The sequence below is a fragment of the Homo sapiens genome, chromosome 2 (assembly GCF_000001405.40).
Source record: "Homo sapiens chromosome 2, GRCh38.p14 Primary Assembly".
NCBI classification, from domain to species: domain Eukaryota; kingdom Metazoa; phylum Chordata; class Mammalia; order Primates; family Hominidae; genus Homo; species Homo sapiens.
In genome coordinates this window covers 55,545,080-55,563,943 of record NC_000002.12, presented here as the reverse complement: position 1 = coordinate 55,563,943, position 18,864 = coordinate 55,545,080, and the positions used below count along the sequence as shown (strand labels likewise).

General features: G+C 40.0%; 1 protein-coding gene across 18 annotated transcripts in view; it reads left to right on the top strand.

Moving 5' to 3' along the window:
• Positions 1–16,652, top strand: part of PPP4R3B (protein phosphatase 4 regulatory subunit 3B) — a 70,331-nt gene extending 53,679 nt beyond the window's left edge. For all 18 annotated transcript variants that reach the window (XM_017004536.3, XM_017004535.3, XM_017004534.3 and 15 more), the window contains 2 exons: positions 4,976–5,169; positions 13,938–16,652. In XM_017004536.3, the coding sequence (XP_016860025.1) occupies positions 4,976–5,169; positions 13,938–14,033 (290 nt within the window). In that variant the 3' untranslated portion in view covers positions 14,034–16,652. The remainder of the gene's footprint in view (positions 1–4,975; positions 5,170–13,937) is intronic.
• The last annotated feature ends 2,212 nt before the right edge of the window (positions 16,653–18,864 follow it).

Below are 18,864 nucleotides of genomic sequence, written 5' to 3'. Positions count from 1 at the left end.
AGCTGATAAACTGAGCTCAAACAAGTAACTTTGCTCTTTGAAATTTTAAAATTACAAAAGTTACATAAAGATATACTAACAAGAGAAGTGAAAAAGTAAAACTTCCCCTGGCTTTCAGATGTGCTTAACTTGTTTTATAAAATGAAGATCTTGCTAGTAATATATCTTTCAAAAGAACTAACCATTTTACTTCTGTGGCCTGAGGAATTACCATTTTTTGGAATACTGCCCTGAGTATATCATTTAAATATTTAATTAAAATTTATACCTTGCTGGGCATGGCGGCTCACGTCTGTAATCCCAGCACTTTGGGAGACTGAGGCAGGTGGATCATTTGAGCCCAGGAGTTCCAAACCACCCTGGGTAACATGGTAAAACCCTGTCTCTACAAAAAAACACAAAAATTAAATGGGCACAGTGGCACTTACCTGGAGTCCCAGCTACTAGGAAGGCTGAGGCTGGAGGATCACTTGAGCCCAGGAGGTCGAAGCTGCAGTGAGCCATGAGCTGCCGCTGCACTCCAGCTTAATAACAGAGAAAGACCTTATCTCAAAAACAAAAGAAAAAATTTATGTCTTAGAAGATAAAAGCCTTTCTTGGATTTATTATGTAAGTTTGTGATTTTGAATGTGACATTTTCTAAAGACAATTCTCAGAAAATTAATTTCATTTATTACATTTTCTTTGAAACTATTGTTCGTACTCATTTTCAACTCATTAGTTTGATAAGTTTTATTTGCCTCAGCGTGGCGGAGCAAAAAGCTTATTAAAATATCCTAAGAAATCGGTACCTTTGCTAGACAAATTCTTCTGCCTTTACTCATTACAGGTACTGCCCTGACTATTGTCAAAAGAGGCAGTACAGCCATATTTGAAGTTCTGTATCCAGTGTTGAGTGAGATGCTGTTAAGAATCATATATAAAAATAATAACCAGATGTTAAAAGGGATTGGACACCTATGTCATAACACAAACAGAAAAAGGAACCTGGAATATTTAGGACTTACGGACTTGATCATTGTCTTTAGGCATTTGGAATATTGACTTGTGAGAGAAATTACTAGGTTTTTACCATGAGTAAAGAAGTGTAGAGTCAGTGAGTGGAAGCTACAGGGAGACAATAAAAGGAAGAGTCAGACAGCTAATGAGATTTTAGATGTATGTGCTAGATACCACAATGTAGAGTTCTAGCATAGAATGGCTAATTTTGTTATGATCCGTAAGGTCCTTTCTAATACTGAGATTTCTAAGATTCTAGCTAATAAAGACTTACCACTTGTATTAGTTCGTTTTATACTGTTAAAAAGAACTACCTAAGACTGGGTAGTTTATGAAGAAAAGAGGTTTGATTAACTCACAGTTCTGTAGGCTTAACAGGAAACATGGCTGAAAGGCTTCGAGAACCTTACAGTCATGGTCGAAGGCGAAAGGAAAGCAAGCATATCTTAACCATGGTGGAGCGGGAGACAGAGAGTGTGAAGGAGGAGGTGCCATGCACTTTTGTTTGTTTGTTTGCTTTTTGAGATGGAGTCTCCTTCTCATTGCCCAGGCTGGAGTGCAGTGGCGTGATCTCGGCTCACTGCAACCTCTGCCTCCTGGGCTCAAGCAATTCTCCTGCCTCAGCCTCTCAAGTAGTTGGGATTACAGGCATGTACCACCACACCCAGCTAATTTTTATATTTTTAATAGAGATGGGGTTTCACCATGTTGGCCAGGCTGGTCTTGAACTCCTGGTCTCAGATGATTCACCCACTTTGGCCTCCCAAAGTGCTGGGATTACAGGCATGAGCCACCAAGCCCGGCCGAGGTGCCACACACTTTGAAACAACCAGATCTCGTGAGAACTCACTATCACAAAAATAGCAAGGGGGTTTTCTGCCTCCATGATTCAGTCATCTCCTCCAACACCTGGGGATTACAATTCACAATGAGATTTGGGTGGGGACAAGAGCCAAACCATATCATTCCACCCCGGTCCCTCCCTAATTTCATGTCCTTTTTACATTTCAAAACCAATCATGCCTTCCCAACAGTCCCCCATAACTCATTCCAGCATTAACTCAAAAGTCCAAGTCCAAAGTCTCATATGAGACAAAGTAAATCCCTTCTGCCTGTGATCCTATAAAATAAAAAACAAGTTAGTTACCTCCAAGATACAACGGGGGTACAGACATTGGGTAAATGCTCCCATTCCAAATGGAAGAAATTGGCCAAAACAAAGGGGCTACAGGCCCTGGGCAAGTGCAAAGCCCAGCAGGGCAGTCTTTAAATCTTAAAGCTCCAAAATAATCTCCTTTGACTCCATGTTTCACATCCAGGGCATGCTGATACAACAGGTAGGCTCCCAGGGCCATGGCTGGCTTCGCCCCTATGGCTTTGCCAGGTACAGCCCCCATGGCTGCTTTCATGGGCTAGAGTTGAGTGCCTGTGGCTTTTCCAGGTGCATGGTGCAAGCTGTTGGTAGATCTACTGTTCTGGGGTCTGGAGGATGGTGGCCCTCTTCTCATGGCTCCACTAGGCAGTATCCCAGTGGGGACTCTATGTGGGGGCTCCAACCTCACATTTCCCTTCCGCACTGCCCTAGTAGAGGTTCTTCATAAGAGCTCTGCCCCTGCAGCAGATTTCTGCCTAGATATCCAGGCATTTCTATATGTCTTCTGAAATCTAGGTGGTTTGAGAATCAGAGGTTACCAAACCTCAGTTCTTGCCTCTACCCCACAGGCCCCGTGTCACATGGAAGCCACCAAGAGTTGGGGCTTGCACGCTCTAAAGCCATGGCCCAAGCTGTACCTTGGCTCCTTTTCGCCATGGCTGGAGCTGCAGCACCTGGGATGCAGGGTGTCCCAAGACTGCACAGAGCAGCAGGGCCCTGGGCCCAGCTCACAAAACCATTTTTCCCTCCTAGGCCTCTGGGCCTGTGAATTAACATTTGGCTCCTTGTTACTTATTCAGATTTCTGCAGCCAGCTTGAATTTCTCCCCAGAAAATGGGGTTTTCTTTTCTACTGCATGGTCAGGCTGCAAGTTTTCCAAACTTTATGCTCTGCTCCCTTTTAAATATAAATTCTAATTTCAGACCATCTCTTTCTTCATGCATATGAGCATACGCTTTTAGAAACCGCCAGAAGGCCTCTTTTTTTTTTTTTTTTTTTTTTTTTTTTTTTTTCTGAGATGGAGTCTCTCTCTGTTGCCCAGGCTGGAATGCAGTGGCATGATCTCAGCTCACTGCAACCTCTGCCTCCCAGGTTCAACTGATTGTCCTGCCTCAGCCTCCCAAGTAGCTGGGACTATAGGTGTGTGCCACCACGCCCAGCTAATTTTTGTATTTTTAGTAGAGACAGGGTTTCACCCTGTTGGCCAGGCTGGTCTCCAACTCCTGACTTCGTGATCCGCTTGTCTCAGCCTCCCAAAGTGCTGGTGTTACAGGCATGAGCCACTGTGCCCAGCCCAGGCCACCACTTGAATGCTTTGCTGCTTAGAAATTTCTTCCACCAGATATCCTAAATCATCTCTCTCAAGTTCAAGTTCCACAGATCTCTAGGGCAGGGGCAAAATGCCGCCAGTCTCTTTGCTAAAGCATACCAAGTATGACCTTTACTCCAGTTCCGAATAAGTTCCTCACCTCCATCTGAGACCTCCTCAGCCTGGACTTCATTGTCCATATCACTGTTAGCATTTTGGTCAAAACCAGTCAACAAGTCTTTAGGAAGTTCCAGACTTTCCCATATCTTCCTGTCTTTTTCTAAGCCCTCCAAATTGTTCCAACCTCTGTCTATTACCCAGTTCCAAAGTCGCTTCCACATTTTCAGGTATCTTTTTTTTTGAGATGGAGTCTTATTCTGTCATCCATGCTGGTGGGCAGTGGCACAATCTCAGCTCACTGCATCCTCTGCCTCCAGGGTTCAAGCAATTCTCCTGCCTCAGCCACCAGAGCAGCTGGGATTATAGGTGTGCACCACCACCCCCAGCTAATTTTTGTATTTTTAATAGAGAATAGGTTTCATCATGTTGGCCAGGCTGATCTTGAACTCCTGACCTCAAGTGATCCACCCTCCTCAGCCACCCAAAGTGCTGGGATTACAGGCGTGAGCCACTGCGCCCTGCCATTTTCAGGTATCTTTATAGCAGTACCACATTCCTGTTACCAATTTTCTGTATAGTTCGTTTTCACACTGCTCTAAAGAACTACCTGAGACTGTAATTTATGAAGAAAAGAGGTATAATTGACTTAAAATTCCACATAGCTGGGGAGGCCTCAGGAAACTTGTGGCGGAAGGTGAATGGGAAACAAGGCATGTGTTACATGGCAGCAGGAGAGAGAGAGCAAGGGGGGAAGTGCCACCCTTTGGAACAACCAGATCTCGTGAGAACTCACTATCACAAGAACAGCAAGGGCGAAATCCACCCCCATGATCCAGTCACCTCTCACCAGGTCCCTCCCCTGACATGTGGGGATTACAATTTGATTTGCGATTTGGGTGGGGACACAGAGCCAGACCATATCATCACTGTACACATCATGTTCTTTTTCAAAAGTTCTTAGGAAACAAAGGCAATTAATTTTGGTGTTATTTTTTTTTGTTTTTTTGGTTTTTTTTGAGACGGAGTTTCGCTCTTGTTGCCCAGGCTGGAGTGCAGTGGTGCGATCTCGGCTCACCACAACCTCTGCCTCCCAGGTTCAAGTGATTCTCCTGCCTCAGCCTCCCAAGTAGCTAAGATTATAGACATGCGCCACCACACCCGGCTAATTTTGTATTTTTAGCAGAGACGGGGTTTCTCCATGTTGGTCAGGCTGGTCTTGAACTCCGGCCTTGGGTGATCTGCCTGCCTCAGCCTCCCAAAGTGTTGGGATTACAGGCGTGAGCCACCATGCCCGGGCAGCAATGTTTTATAAGTTTTTTAATTACTGCTGTTTTTAGATGTTTTGACTTAGCAGTATTTATTGATATACGTTCAAAATTTTACTTTTGCTTTAGCAAAAGAAAGTGAAGACAAGGAAAACCTTCCCAAAAGGACATCTCCTGGTGGCTTCAAATTTACTTTCTCCCACTCTGCCAGTGCTGCTAATGGAACAAACAGTAAATCTGTAGTGGCTCAGATACCACCAGCAACTTCTAATGGATCCTCTTCCAAAACCACAAACTTGCCTACGTCAGTAACAGCCACCAAGGTAGGTGAAACAGCATTACACACAAACTTTGCTTTTCCCGTCTGTGAGATTTTTTCATGTTTACTGAAAAAAATTTGGATAATCAAAACAATTTCAATGAATTGTTTAGAATTTTTCTGTTACCAAAATGTTGATTGTAGAATTTTATTTTATTTTATTTTATTTTTTGAGACAGAGTCTCACTCTGTCGCCAGGCTGGAGTGCAGTGGAGTGATCTCAGCTCACTGCAACCTCCGCCTCCCGGGTTCAAGCAGTTCTCCTGCCTCAGTCTCCCAAGTAGCTGGGACTACAGGCGCGTGCCACCACACCCAGCTAATTTTTGTATTTTTAGTAGAGACGAGGTTTCACCATGTTGGCCAGGATGGTCTCGATCTCTTGACCTCATGTTCCGCCCACCTCGGCCTCTCAAAGAGAATTTCATTTTATTTAGGCTTATGATAATAAATGTAAGCATCCTTCCTCCCTGTCCCCCATTCTATTTTGGAGCACTTAAGTTGATTCTAATATTTCACTGACTACTTAGTGTTACTGCATTTTAAATTATTTTCTTGGATAGTTTAGTAGTAGAACGTCTTCACACATACGGTCAAATTCATCTTCATAAAGTCTATGCCAGTTTATGTTACCATAAACTGTGTATGAGTGTGCGTGGCCAATTGCAGCTTTGCCAGTGCTATAATTATTTTTAGTATTTGCCAGTTAGGTAGGGGAGACAGTATATAATATCTCATTTCCAATCGTGTATACTCTATTAGTAGTAAGGCTAAATATTAGCCTTTTGAATCTGCTCTTCTCTGCAAATTGGATTATATTATTGTCGATGAATCTTTAGTTAAGGATATTAGACTTTCTGTTGTTCTTATAACAAATGTATTTCCCTTGGTTACTTTTTTTATAAACAAGTTTAAATTTTATATGAAACATTTTTCTTGTTCATATGTTATATGAAATCATCCTTTTTCCCCAAAAAGGAGTGGCTTAAAATAAAAAGGCATAAATAGGGGACAACTATTGTATAAAGGTAGAAAGACAAGCAGAAACACCGTGGTAGTACATACCTAATTAAAGGAATGCATCTTGTTTGGAACACAAAATATAAGTCTGAGTTTATTTTACAAAAATGTAGAATTTTCATTCAGTAGTATAGTGAGATAGGCTCTTGACAATAGCATTTTCATGGTATTCGGTATTTGAAACATATTTTATGTTTTTCAACTGGAAAATTTTAAAATTAGTTTTCAACTTTATGATGGGACAATTTAGAGTAATATTGTGACACTACATTAAGAATGTTTGGGCTGGGCACAGTATCCTAGCACTGTGGGAGGCCAAGGCAGGAGGATCGCTTGAGCGCAGGAGTCCAAGACCAGTCTGGGCAACAAGGTGAGACCCCATCTCTACAAAAAGTATTAAAAAATTAGCTGGGTGTGGTGGCACACACCTGTGGTCCCAGCTACTCAAGAGTCAGGCAGGAGAATGGTTTGAGCCTGAGAGGTGGAGGCTTCAGTGAGCCATGATCTTGCCACTGCACTCCAGCCTAAACAAGAGAATGAGACCCTGCTCAAAAAAGAATATTTGCCATAGGGTTGTATTGTTTGGGTTCAAACCTTGGCTCTGCCTCTTTGTAGCTGTATCACCTTGTATAAGTTATTTAATCTCTCTGGGCCTTAAGCTCCCTGCCTTCCTGCTTCGTCGTCGTCGTCGTCGTTGTTGTTACAGAGTCTCACTCTGTCACCCAGCCTGGAGTGCAGTGGTGTGATCACAGCTCACTGCCTCCGCCACCTCCTGGGCTCAACTGATCCTCCCACCTCAGCCTCCCGAGTAGCTGGGAGTGCTGGCGCATGCCACTATGCCTGGCTAATTTTTCTATTTTTGGTAGAGATGGGTTTTTGCCATGTTGCCCAGGCTGGTCTCAGACTGCTGGTCTCAAGCAGTCCTGCTCAGCTTCCCACAGTGTTAGGATTAACAGGTGTTAGCCACCATGCCCGGCCGACTTTCTTGTTTTAAAAAGGGGTAAGGTAGTACCTACTTTATAAGCTTGTTGGGAAGATTAAATTATTTAACAAATGTAAAATGCTGAGAACACTGCTTGACACCTTCTCAGTATATATTAGCTTTTCTTTTTTTTCTTTTTTTTTTTTTAAATCAAAGTAATACATGCATGTACTTTCAAAAGTCAAATATTACCAAAAGGCAAGTTTATATTAGAAAAAAATCAGTCCCTCTGTTCCCCTCCACAAAGATACCTTTGAACTCTTTTAGCTGTGTCTTCTATTTCTAATAATATGTCAATACTGCATACCTTTTCTATCCTACTTTTATATCCTACTATTCATTTTGTTTTCCTGTTATATTTTCTGTTATATTTCTCTGAGTTTTTATTATCCTTTCAGATAATTTACTTATGAATGAGCAAAATTAAATGCAAGCACCAACACCTTTTTCACTCTTCTTGACAGTAACAGCAGATTACAGAATACATCTGTTATACATCCTTTTTAGAGATAGGGATAAAAACAGTGTTCTTGGGAAACAGTTGCTCTATCACTGTAGACACAGAATTTTGAAATTAAGCAAGACAGGAGTTGACAGAAGTTAAGCACCACTTTAATTTGCTCTCAACCTTCTTAACAAACCATGCCCACATTCCTAAGTGGTGACAGATTCTTTATCACCAATTGCCCTTTGGTTTAGCCAGTTTCACTAACAGTGTTAATTGCTATAGTTGAAGGCTGGCTAGACATTAGCTACTAATGAATTAAAACATTTGTTTTTATGATATAAATGTCATAAAGACACAAAATACTTCTTTAGTTGTGTAACTGTAAAACGTATATTTTCTATGAGGAAAAATATAAAATCAGAATGAGAAGCCATTTGTGGATACTAAAATAAACACGTCACAGATTCACAGTAGAGAAACCTGTTATTTTGCTTCTTTGTGTAGCAAATTTATCTTGGTGAGCTCTTCATATCAGGACATTAGAGATTTCCTGCATAGAACTTAAAAGTATGGATATAACAATTTATAATTAGCCCCTATCAATGTGATGGGCATTAAAGTTGTTTGCAGCTTTTTGTAGTTAAAATCATTGCTGCAATATGTGACCACTTGCATATATCATTTCATATACGTGTGTATTTCTGTATAGAATGTGCATTTATTATAATGTTCTAGGATTACAGGTGTGCGACACCATGCCTGGCTAATTTTTGTATTTTCAGTAGAGATGGGGTTTCACCATGTTGGCCAGGCTCGTCAGGAACTCCTGATCTTAAGTGATTCACCCACCTCGGCCTCCCAAAGGGCTTTTTCATAGGTTATTGTTGTCATTTATTTTGATCCTTTCTTTCATATTGGAAACTTTACTCAAGTGGTGATCTTAGGATTTCCTTTCATAAAAAAAAATAAGGCAGATTTTAATAAGAGTGCCAAGACAATTTGATGGGGGAAAGAATACTCTTTTTCTTTCTTTCTTTTTTTTTTTTTTTTTTTAGACGGAGTCTTGTTCTGTTGCCCAGGCTGGAGTGCGGTGGCGCAATCTTGGCTCACTGCAAGCTCCGCCTCCCAGGTTCACACCATTTTCCTACCTCAGCCTCCTGAGTAGCTGGGACTACAGGTGCCCACCACCACGCCTGGCTAATTTTTTGTATTTTTAGTAGAGATGGGATTTCACTGTGTTAGCCAGGATGTTCTCGATCTCCTGACCTCGTGATCTGCCTGCCTCGGCCTCCCAAAGTGTTGGGATTACAGGCGTGAGCCACCGCGCCCGGCCACAATACCCTTTTCAATAAATGTTACAACTGGATATCCACATGCAGAAGAATGAAGTTAGATCCCTATCTCACATCATATCCAAAACTCCTCTCAAAATGGATGAAAAGATCCAAATGTAAAAGTTAAAAGTCTAAAACTCTTTTTTAAAAAAAGGCATAAATATCTATGACCTTGGATTTAGGCAGTGATTTCTTAGATATGACACAAATAGCTCAAGTGACAAAAGAAAAATAATAAATTGGACTCATTCAAAATTCAAAAATTTTGTACTCCAAAGGATACTACCATAAATTGAAAAGACAATCCACAAAATGGGAGGAAATATTTGTAAATGATATATCTGATAAGTAACTGGTATCCAGAATATATAAAGAACTCTTACACCTCAGCATGACAACCCCGTTTTAAAATGGACAAAGGATTTTAACAGACATTTCTGCAAAGAAGATACACAAGTGGCCCATATAAACATGTGGAAAGATGTTTAGCATCATTAGTAAGGGAAATGCAAGTCAAAATCACAATATGATAGCATTTCACATCCTCTAGGATAGCTATAATAAAAAAGATGCACAAAAACAAGTGTTGGTAAGAATGTAAATTGTGACACCCATTGCTAGTGAGAATATAAAATAGCACAACAGGCCTGGTGCATAGGCTTATGCCTGTAATCCCAGCATTTTGGGAGGCCGAGGCAGGAGCATCGCTTGAGCCCAGGAGCTCGAGACCAGCCTGGGCAAAATGGCAAAACCCCGTCTACAAAAATTAGCTGGACATGGTGGCACATGCCTGTGGTCCCAGCTATTCGGGAGGCTGAGGTGGGAGTATCACTTGAGCCCAGCGGGCAGAGGTTGCAATAAGCCGAGATCACATCACTGCACTTTCGAGTCTCTAAGACAATGTCTCAAAAAATAAATATATAAAAATAAAATGGTGTAGCAGCTTTGGAGTACAGTCTGGCGGTTCCCCAAAAAGTCAGAGTACCATATGACCCAGAGTTACCATATGACCCAGCTACCTCATTTCCTAGGTATATATTGTAAGAAAATTGAAAACATGTGTCCACTGTAAAACTTGTATATGAATGTTAATAGCAGTATTTTTCATAATAGCCAAAAAGTAAGAATAACCCAAATGTCTCTCAGCTGATGAATGGATACACAAAATGTAGCATATTCATACAGTGGATATTATTTGGCCATAAAAAAGAATGAAGTCCTGATATGCTAAGCATAGATTAACTTTGAAAACATTGTGGTAATTGAAGTAAACCAGTCACAAAAGACCACATATTGTATGATTCCATTTATATGAACTGTCCAGAATAAGCAAATCCGCAGAAACAAAGTAGGTTAGTGGTTGCCAAGAGCTGGGTGGTGTGGGGGGTGGTGGGGGAATGAGGACTGTTTATGGGGACTTTTTTTGGTGGGTGAAATGGTGGAAATGTTCTGGAATTGGTGGTGATTACGTAACTTGTGAATATACTAAAACCACTGAATTATATGCTCTGAAATGGTGAGTTTATGGTGTGTGAAAATTATACACTTTAAAAACTTGACTTTATGGTATGGACTTAGAGAGTAGTGCCCTGCTTTTTTCGGGAGGTGTTAGTTGTTTGTAGTTCCCCCCATACTCCTGTGAAGCCATCTAATTTTTACAGACAAAGCTAGTCTCTTACACCTTGTAAGTATAAGAATGGTTGTTAGTGTTCTGAGTGCCTACATAGCAAAGCTTATTGTGGGGTAGGCGTGTCTGCTCAGTATACAAAATTTAAATTTATTCTTTCATTTTCAGCCTGGCCTTACCCATGCCCTTTACTTTGCCTAAAGTCATGAAGTATATGGTCCTTTGCTCTGTAAAGTTCATTACATTCTCTATAGAATTTATTCTTTATAGAGTCATTTTCTATGTAGAATTCTCTGTAGTTGGTGATGGTGGAGGAACAGAAATCTCCTGGCTGTCAGAGGTGTAGAATCAATGACCCAGTTGTCTGTTTTACTATAATTAAACTGTTTTCCCTGCTTTCCCCAATATTTTGGTGCCTTTACTGCCTAGCTTCTTTCTGGGGTTTTCTTAAGACAAATCAGTTTCTCGTTTCTGTATCCCTCTGCAAATACTTAGTTCTTGGCTTCTTCCTGTTGTATGACTTGCCTTGCCTCTGATTTCTCTTTTCCAAAAATGCCTTGGCAACTCTAAACTGCTGTTCTCTCTTCTCCTGTTTTCTTTGCTGGTATTCACTTTTTAAATTTCTTACCTAAATACCCTGCAAAAACAACCCAAATGTCCAACCAGAAATTCAGGAATTAAAGTATATGATGAAGCCGAGCATGGTGGCTCGGCTTTGGGAGTCTGAGGTGGGCAGATCACTTGAGGCCAGGAGTTCAAGGCCAGCCTGGCCAACATGGTGAAACCCCATCTCTACTAAAAATACAAAAGTTAGCCAGGCATGGTGGTGCATGCATGTAGCCCAAGCTACTTGGGTGGCTGAGGCACAGGAATCGCTTGCACCCTGGAGACAGAGGTTGCAGTGAACTGAGATCACACAACTGTACTCTAGCTCAGGCGACAGAGCAAGACTCTTAAAAAATATATATATATTCATACCATGGAATGCAAGGGTTTAAAACAATGAAATGGAACTTTATGTACTGACATCGAAAGCTTTTTTTTATATGAACATGATTGTAAAAGAGTAAATATAATTTCAATCTGCTATTTTAAAACAGTACATTTCTAGATACATATTAAAAGTATGGAATCAGCTTCACAAAGTGCATCTCTAGATTACAGGCCTTTTTACTTCCAACATTTCATATTTTGCATTTTTATTATTTTTATTGTAAACATGTTTTAAATGTATGTTAGTTTGCAGAGATAATATAAGTAAAACTCAAATTGTATAAGTGAGTTTTTCAGACAATTTATTAATCTTGGGCAGAAACAATTAAGTGTTAACCATTTGGAATACAAATGTTTGTACGTTATGATATGTAATACTAAGCATAATTAAAACTTTGTAACTTTGCTGTCATCTTTTTGATTATCAGATTGGTGCCTTTTTATACCAGAATTATTTCTTGTTTTTCCTCTCTTCCAATTTGTTTGGCTTAGAAACAAAATAATAGAAAAATGATAGTAGTAATAGCAGCTAATAGCACTTATTGAACACTAACTACATACGAAGCACTGTGCTGAAGTGCTTTAGATGTTTGGTTATCTATTTATTTATTTATTTATTTATTTTTGAGATGGAGTCTTGCTCTTGTTGCCCAGGCTGGAGTGCAGTGGTGCAATCTTGGCTCACTGCAGCCTCTGCCTCCCGGGTTCAAGCAATTCTCCTGCCTCAGCCTCTGAAGCAGCTGGGATTACAGGCATGCGCCACCACTCCTGGCTAATTTTTTTATTTTTAGTAGAGATGGGGTTTCACCATGTTGGTCAGGCTGGACTCCAACTCCTGACCTCAGGTGATCCACCTACCTTGGCCTCCCAAAATGCTAGGATTACAGGCATGAGCCACTGCGCCTGGCCATCAATTTAAATTTCAAAATAGTTCACTGAGGCCTAAATACTACTATACCAATTTTACAGACAAACTGAGGCAGAGGTATTAAACCACTTGCCCAAGGTTTTGTGTTTTTTTTTGTTTTTCTTTTTGTTTTGAGATGGAGTCTTGCTCTGTTGCCCAGGCTAGAGTGCAGTGGTGCAATCTCCACCTCCTGGGTTCAAGAGATGCTCGTCCCTCAGCCTCCCGAGTAGCTGGGACTACAGGTGCCTGCCATCACGCCAGGCTAATTTTTGTATTTTTGGTAGAGATAGGGTTTTGCTATGTTGGCCAGGCTGGTTTTGAACTCATTATCTCTCAGGTGACCCATCCGCCTCGATCTCCCAAAGTGCTGGGATTACAGGCATAAGCCCAGCCCCAAAGTTTTGTTTTTGTTTTTGTTTTTTTTTACATAAAACGTGGTGTCATTAGAATTTGACATCAGACCTACAGTTAGCCTATTTTTAACAATTTAGCCATATTGCTTCTTGCATATCCAGACTTAAGATGTGTGTGTGATTAAGTTGAGAAACAGATTCTCAGACAGGTATATAAGTCTTTCTGATAACTGTTTCTAGCTGCCCAGAGGCCTTTTTTTGGTTGGTTAATATTATACTGATTTGGTTACATTCTGGTAAAACCCGATACCTCAGTACTTCAGGTATGAAGTATGAGTTACTTCAGTTGTATTTGTTTTATCTCCTAGAGGTCTGAAGGGTTTGAACTAAATACAGTGTTTACAGTAGCCCTCTTAACCTATAGGACATAAGTTTTCATGGGATTGGCTCAAAATGAATGAAACCCTGTGGATGTGTAATTTTCTGGAGAGTACCCAGAGTTTTTCTAGGATTTTCACAGAGGTCTGTTACTCATCAAAGGCCAAGACCACGAATTACCTCATCCTTATTGTTCTTTTGGTCAGCGAGCTAGCCCTAAATGTTTTACTTATTATTTTATAGGAATCATTTCATGTGTTTATCTCCAGCCATTTAAGCTGTACTTCAAAAGCACAATGAAAATAATGTGTACTTAGTGATGAAATATACACAAGATGAACAAAGACTACAAGGGGCTTTCTTGTGGTAATGAAATTAGAGAAATGAACCAGTTCATCTCCAATGTCCTTTCCAGCTTCCAAATGTTATTAATTGTTATCCCTACTGTTTGGAAAAGTAGACATTTTCCCACAGTAAAATTTTGCAGAATTGAGTTTTGAAGTATCATTAATAATCCAAGAACCAGATAGAAAAGTTAAGGGTTACTGCAAGTGCTACCAATTACTACTCAAACGTTCATAATTTCAAGCAGTTCCTTTATCAAATTCAAATGTTAATTTCTGATATGATTTAGAAAAACGATTTCTGATATTTTTACAAGTGATTGTATTTGTACTAAAAGCTCTTTTTTGTTATATATGTTTAAAGAAAAAATTTTTAAATTCTTCAATAGGGAAGTTTGGTTGGCTTAGTGGATTATCCAGATGATGAAGAGGAAGATGAAGAAGAAGAATCGTCCCCCAGGAAAAGACCTCGTCTTGGCTCATAAAATATTTATTAGGGGACCCTCAACATGTGGTCTTACAATGCTGCAACTGTTCAGTGAGCTGAAAATCTGAATCAGAAAGCTTTCTCAATTGAACTTATAAAATATACAAGGAGTAGCAAAAGACAGTATATCAGCTAAGAGAGTTTAGTTCTAATAAAAATCAGGCTTCCCAGGAACTTGATTGCTTGCTAGTAATTAAGGGGTTTGCCTTTTAGGCTGTCAAAACAAACATTAGTAACCAGAACCTGGGAGACAGCTTCTCAGCAAGGAAAAGTCACAGGTTTGGGGACGGTTTAGGGGAGGGGAAAAGGTTGATATAATAATGCAGGGTTGCTCCTCGGGGTGTCGATCTAGAAACAATTTTACAGAACTTCAGTTGTAAACTCAATAACATTACTTGTATAATGGTGCTGGCCATGTTGTTGTTTTAATCAGTTGCCTCTTTTTAAAAGAAATTTTTATGGAAAACACATTCAACTATCATTAAAAAAATGAAGTTAAGCTGTTGGGACCATTTCTTTAAGATTTAACAAAAGTTCAGCCTTTTAGGTAGTTGAAGGGAAGTACACCCCGTATTCAGCACATGTTGAGTTTTCTACACCAGGAATTTTCAATATGTATATTGATGAAAACAAGCTCAATTCAAACTGGACAGTTTTAAGATAATGTTAAAATCAGCACTTTTAGAGACAACGAAGGCCAAGAATCAGTACAGTAGTATTCCAAAATGATTTTCTCTAGAAATTTGAAAGTAGATCGAACAGAATGTTGTCAACCGCCTACCAGTACAATCTTTTGTGGAAGATACTTTGAAATCACTTTCTACTTTGTTAGTAAAGTTCTGTCTTTCCAGAGCTGCAAGTTTTAAAGTGTTACTTATACAGACCAACCAAGAATAGTGCTGAATTAAGTGGCATTTAGTATCTAGAAGCCATTTTGATCCAAGAAGCTACTTAAGTGTCAAAGTCAGCATGCAGCACATGTAGCTTTTCTGTAAACAAGGGTGTGATATGAAAGCTGCTTTTTTAAGAAGAGTAAAAGCACATTCCATATACGTAAGTGAATTTTAAAAATAAATTGAGGCAAACAGTTAAGTTTTATTTTTAGAGCAACAAGTTAACTGTAAATATTTTAATGTTAGTTTGCTCATCTATGATCTGAGATCATGCCGAAGTGAGAAAAATCTCCCCAAAATACAATTTAATGCATTGGGAAAAAAAAACTTTAACAGTAATTCCAGCCACAATCTTTAGATCACCCTTGTAATGTGTTACGGGTCCATTTTTCCTGGAATCGTTTAATCTAAAGCAGTTTCCCCTGTTTTGGAGATTTTGTAGTTAATTTTAATTTTGGCTATTGTTTGGAAAAGATGAGCTGTCTGTGTAGATATGAAGTATAGTTTTTTCCATAAAACAGATGTTTATTTTGTATTAAAAAATACCACTGTACTTGTTTTACACCATTTGTATACATGTGGTGATATTAATGCTAAACTGTAAAATTCAGGAATTAAAATGTGACCCTGTAATTCCATAATTGATGTTTGTGTTTGGTTTGTTGTAAATATAAATTAACTCCATTTTGAGATATGTCAATTTTACAGTATCTTTTAAAAGCCAATAAAATTATCCATAAATATTTATTATAAACTGCTAGATCATACCCCAATTTTAATGAAATAATTCTAAACAAATGCGGGTCAATGGCACTTTATCAGTGACTACTTATAGAAGGTAAGCCTTGGGGAAATCATAGCATCACAGTATGGAGCTTTTCTCACCTTTTCAATTAAAGGTGTACATATAGTAAGAAAGAAAGACCTTCCACCTCATAAGGCAGGTGACTCAGGATATTTTAAACTAAGATCAGTAAAGTTCCCATCCACTTTCTTTGAATCATCAAATTTTATCGAGACCCATCTCTCAGCTTTTAGTAAATTTCTTCTTAAAATAAGCCCACATGTAAAACACTTTCCTAGTTACTTTTTGTTTGTTTGTTTGAGTCTCGCTCTGTTGCCCAGGCTGGAGTGTAGTTGCACGATTTCGGCTTATTGCAACATCCGCCACCTGGGTTCAAGCAATTCTCTGCCTCAGCCTGAGTAGCTGGGATTACAGGTGCCCGTCACCATGCCAGGCTAATTTTTGTATTTTCAGTAGAGACGGGGTTTCACCATCTTGGCCAGGCTGGTCTTAAACTCCTGACCTCACAATCCACCCGCCTCAGCCTCCCTATCTCTGTATCTTATGAAGACTTCCTTTTTCTTTCTGAAGAGCTGCCATAAGTCTTAAACATTTAAATCATCAGAACCTTTTCTTGTAGCAGAAATGTGAATGTTTTCTTGAAGTACAGGTTACGGTTTTCATGGTACAAGTGCTTACCTACGACGATAAGAGAACAAGGCTTAAAATATCCCTCAAAAGAACAATTGTGAGAATTCCATGTTAGCGGCTGTCTTTAAACGACTACCCTCAGGCAGATCTGGGTTTTTATATCTTTATCTTCATTCAGTGAAGCAAGCCAAAAGCCCACATTTGTATGCCTTAGGTCTTCTTAAAATGGTATCTGTAAACATGTGTCCAATATAAAAACTATTTTTAATAAAAAGTTACATGAAACAGATTTCTGTGTTTTAATCACTAGCATTTCCTCTTAGCCATCTAGTGATGAAAATATAACAAATGTAAATACTGGTTTTCCTGCAGGGGAAAGTTTGGAATTGTGTAACTGAAATGAGTAAATCCTGTTACACTAATTTTGGTATCCTTTTTTAAAAGTTTATAATGGTAGACTTAAGGAGATAAAATGTGATTATAAGTTAAATCTCAGGAGTATCCTGTACTTAGAAAAGGGTGGACGTGGGATATTACAAGACTGGAAGTTTTTTGTTTGTTTGTTTGTTTTTTGGAGATGGAGTCTTGCTCTGTTGTTGCCCAGGCTGGAGTGCAGTGGTGTGATTTCGCTCACTGCAACTTCCACCTCCCAGGTTGAAGCGAGTCTCCAGCCTCAGCCACCCGAGTAGCTGGCATTACAGGCATGCACCACCACGCCCAGCTAATTTTTGTATTTTAGTAGAGATGGGGTTTCACCATGTTGGTCGGGCTGGTCTTGAACTCCTGACCTCAAGTGATCTGCACCCCCTCAGCCTCCCAAAATGTTGGGATTACAGGCATGAGCCACCATGCCTGGCCTTTTTTATTTTATTTTTTTTATATGGAGTCTTGCTCTGTCACCCAGGCTGGAATGCAGTGGCGTGAGCTCGGGTTCAATGCAACCTCCGCCTCCCGGGTTCAAGCGATTCTCCTGCTGCAGCCTTCCAAGTAGCTGGGATTACAGTTACCCGCCACTACACCTGGCTAATTTTTGTATTTTTAGTTGAGACGGAGTTTCACCATGTTGGCCAGGCTGGTCTCCTGACCTCAAGTGATCCTCCTGCGTCGGCCTCCCAAAGTGCTGGGATTACAGGCATGAGCCACCACACCCGGCCTGCAAGTTTCTGAAAGAAAGGTCTCCTATTATTGTGGTTTATCTTTAAACAAACAGACTACAGAAATCTTAGGGTCACTTCTCTTAAACACCAACACCCAGTGGTGGCATCTCCTTCAACAGGCTCAATCGATTATTCCCTTTGCCTGTGTTTTAGTAAGAGTTTGTCTAGAAAGAGTGAGTATTTTTTACATCCCGCACATCTATTTTCCAAGTCCTATTTGCTCCTGCCTCGTATAAGTGTAAATGATAAATGTAAAATCTACCTTACCACTGCCCAAGTTATCTCTACCCTTGATTGGACTGTCTCATACATGGTACACCCACAACTACTCTACCTCATACAGCAATAAAAATGAAAATTTTGATCATTTAACTTCCCTGCTTTAATTTTTTTTTTCCTTTTTTTTGAGACGGTCTCACTGTGTCATCCAGGCTGGAGTGGAGTGCTGTGATCATAGCTCACTGCAGCCTTGACCTCCGGGGCTCTGGTGATCCTAGCACCTCAGCCTCCCAGGTAACTGGGACTACAGGTATATGCCACCATGCCTAGCTAATTTTTTGTATTTTTAGTAGATACAGGGTTTTGCCATGTTGCCCAGGCTGATCTCAAACTCCTGGGCTCAAGCAATCTGTCCACCTCGGCCTCCCAAAGTGCTGGGATTACAGTGTCAGCCACCGTGCCTGGCCCCTGCATTAAAATTTTTCAATGACTTGACACTGCTGGTATTACAAAATTTAAAATCCAGAGCTGGGATTGTGCAACTGCACGCCAGCCTGGGCAGCAGAGCAAGATCCTGTCTCTAAAATAATTTTTAAAAAAATTAAATCCTCACATTCCCTGTAAGACTCTGCACTGTCAGTCCCCCACCTGTCTCCAATTTCATATGCTAACCGTCTCCACTCATATATATACTCCAGTTTTTCAGTATATGCTTTATTTCCTGCTGCAGAACCTGAACTGTTCCTTACCTATTCTTTGTGTAATTAACCTTCCATTCAGCTTAAAGAGGCTTAGCCAGCCCTGCTCATAGGACACTACACTTTGCCTTTCTAACAGTTTCGTCTTTGGGCCCTCTCCACTAGCCCCATGAAGGCAGTGACCCTGTCAATCTAGTTGACTCCTGTATCCTTAGTGCTTAGCACAATGCCTGGCACAAACAGTAGGTAACCGAGTTTGAATGAATGAACATACTATCAACTAGTTTCCTTCTATACCCTCTTTCCAAGGGAAAACATCCAGGAATTTGTATTAAACTAATCAGTATGAGTAGCTGCCTTCCCTACTGTCCTTTACCTAAAGTGTTTAAGATATTTGGATTTACAAAAGTGTTCGAAACTAAAAGGC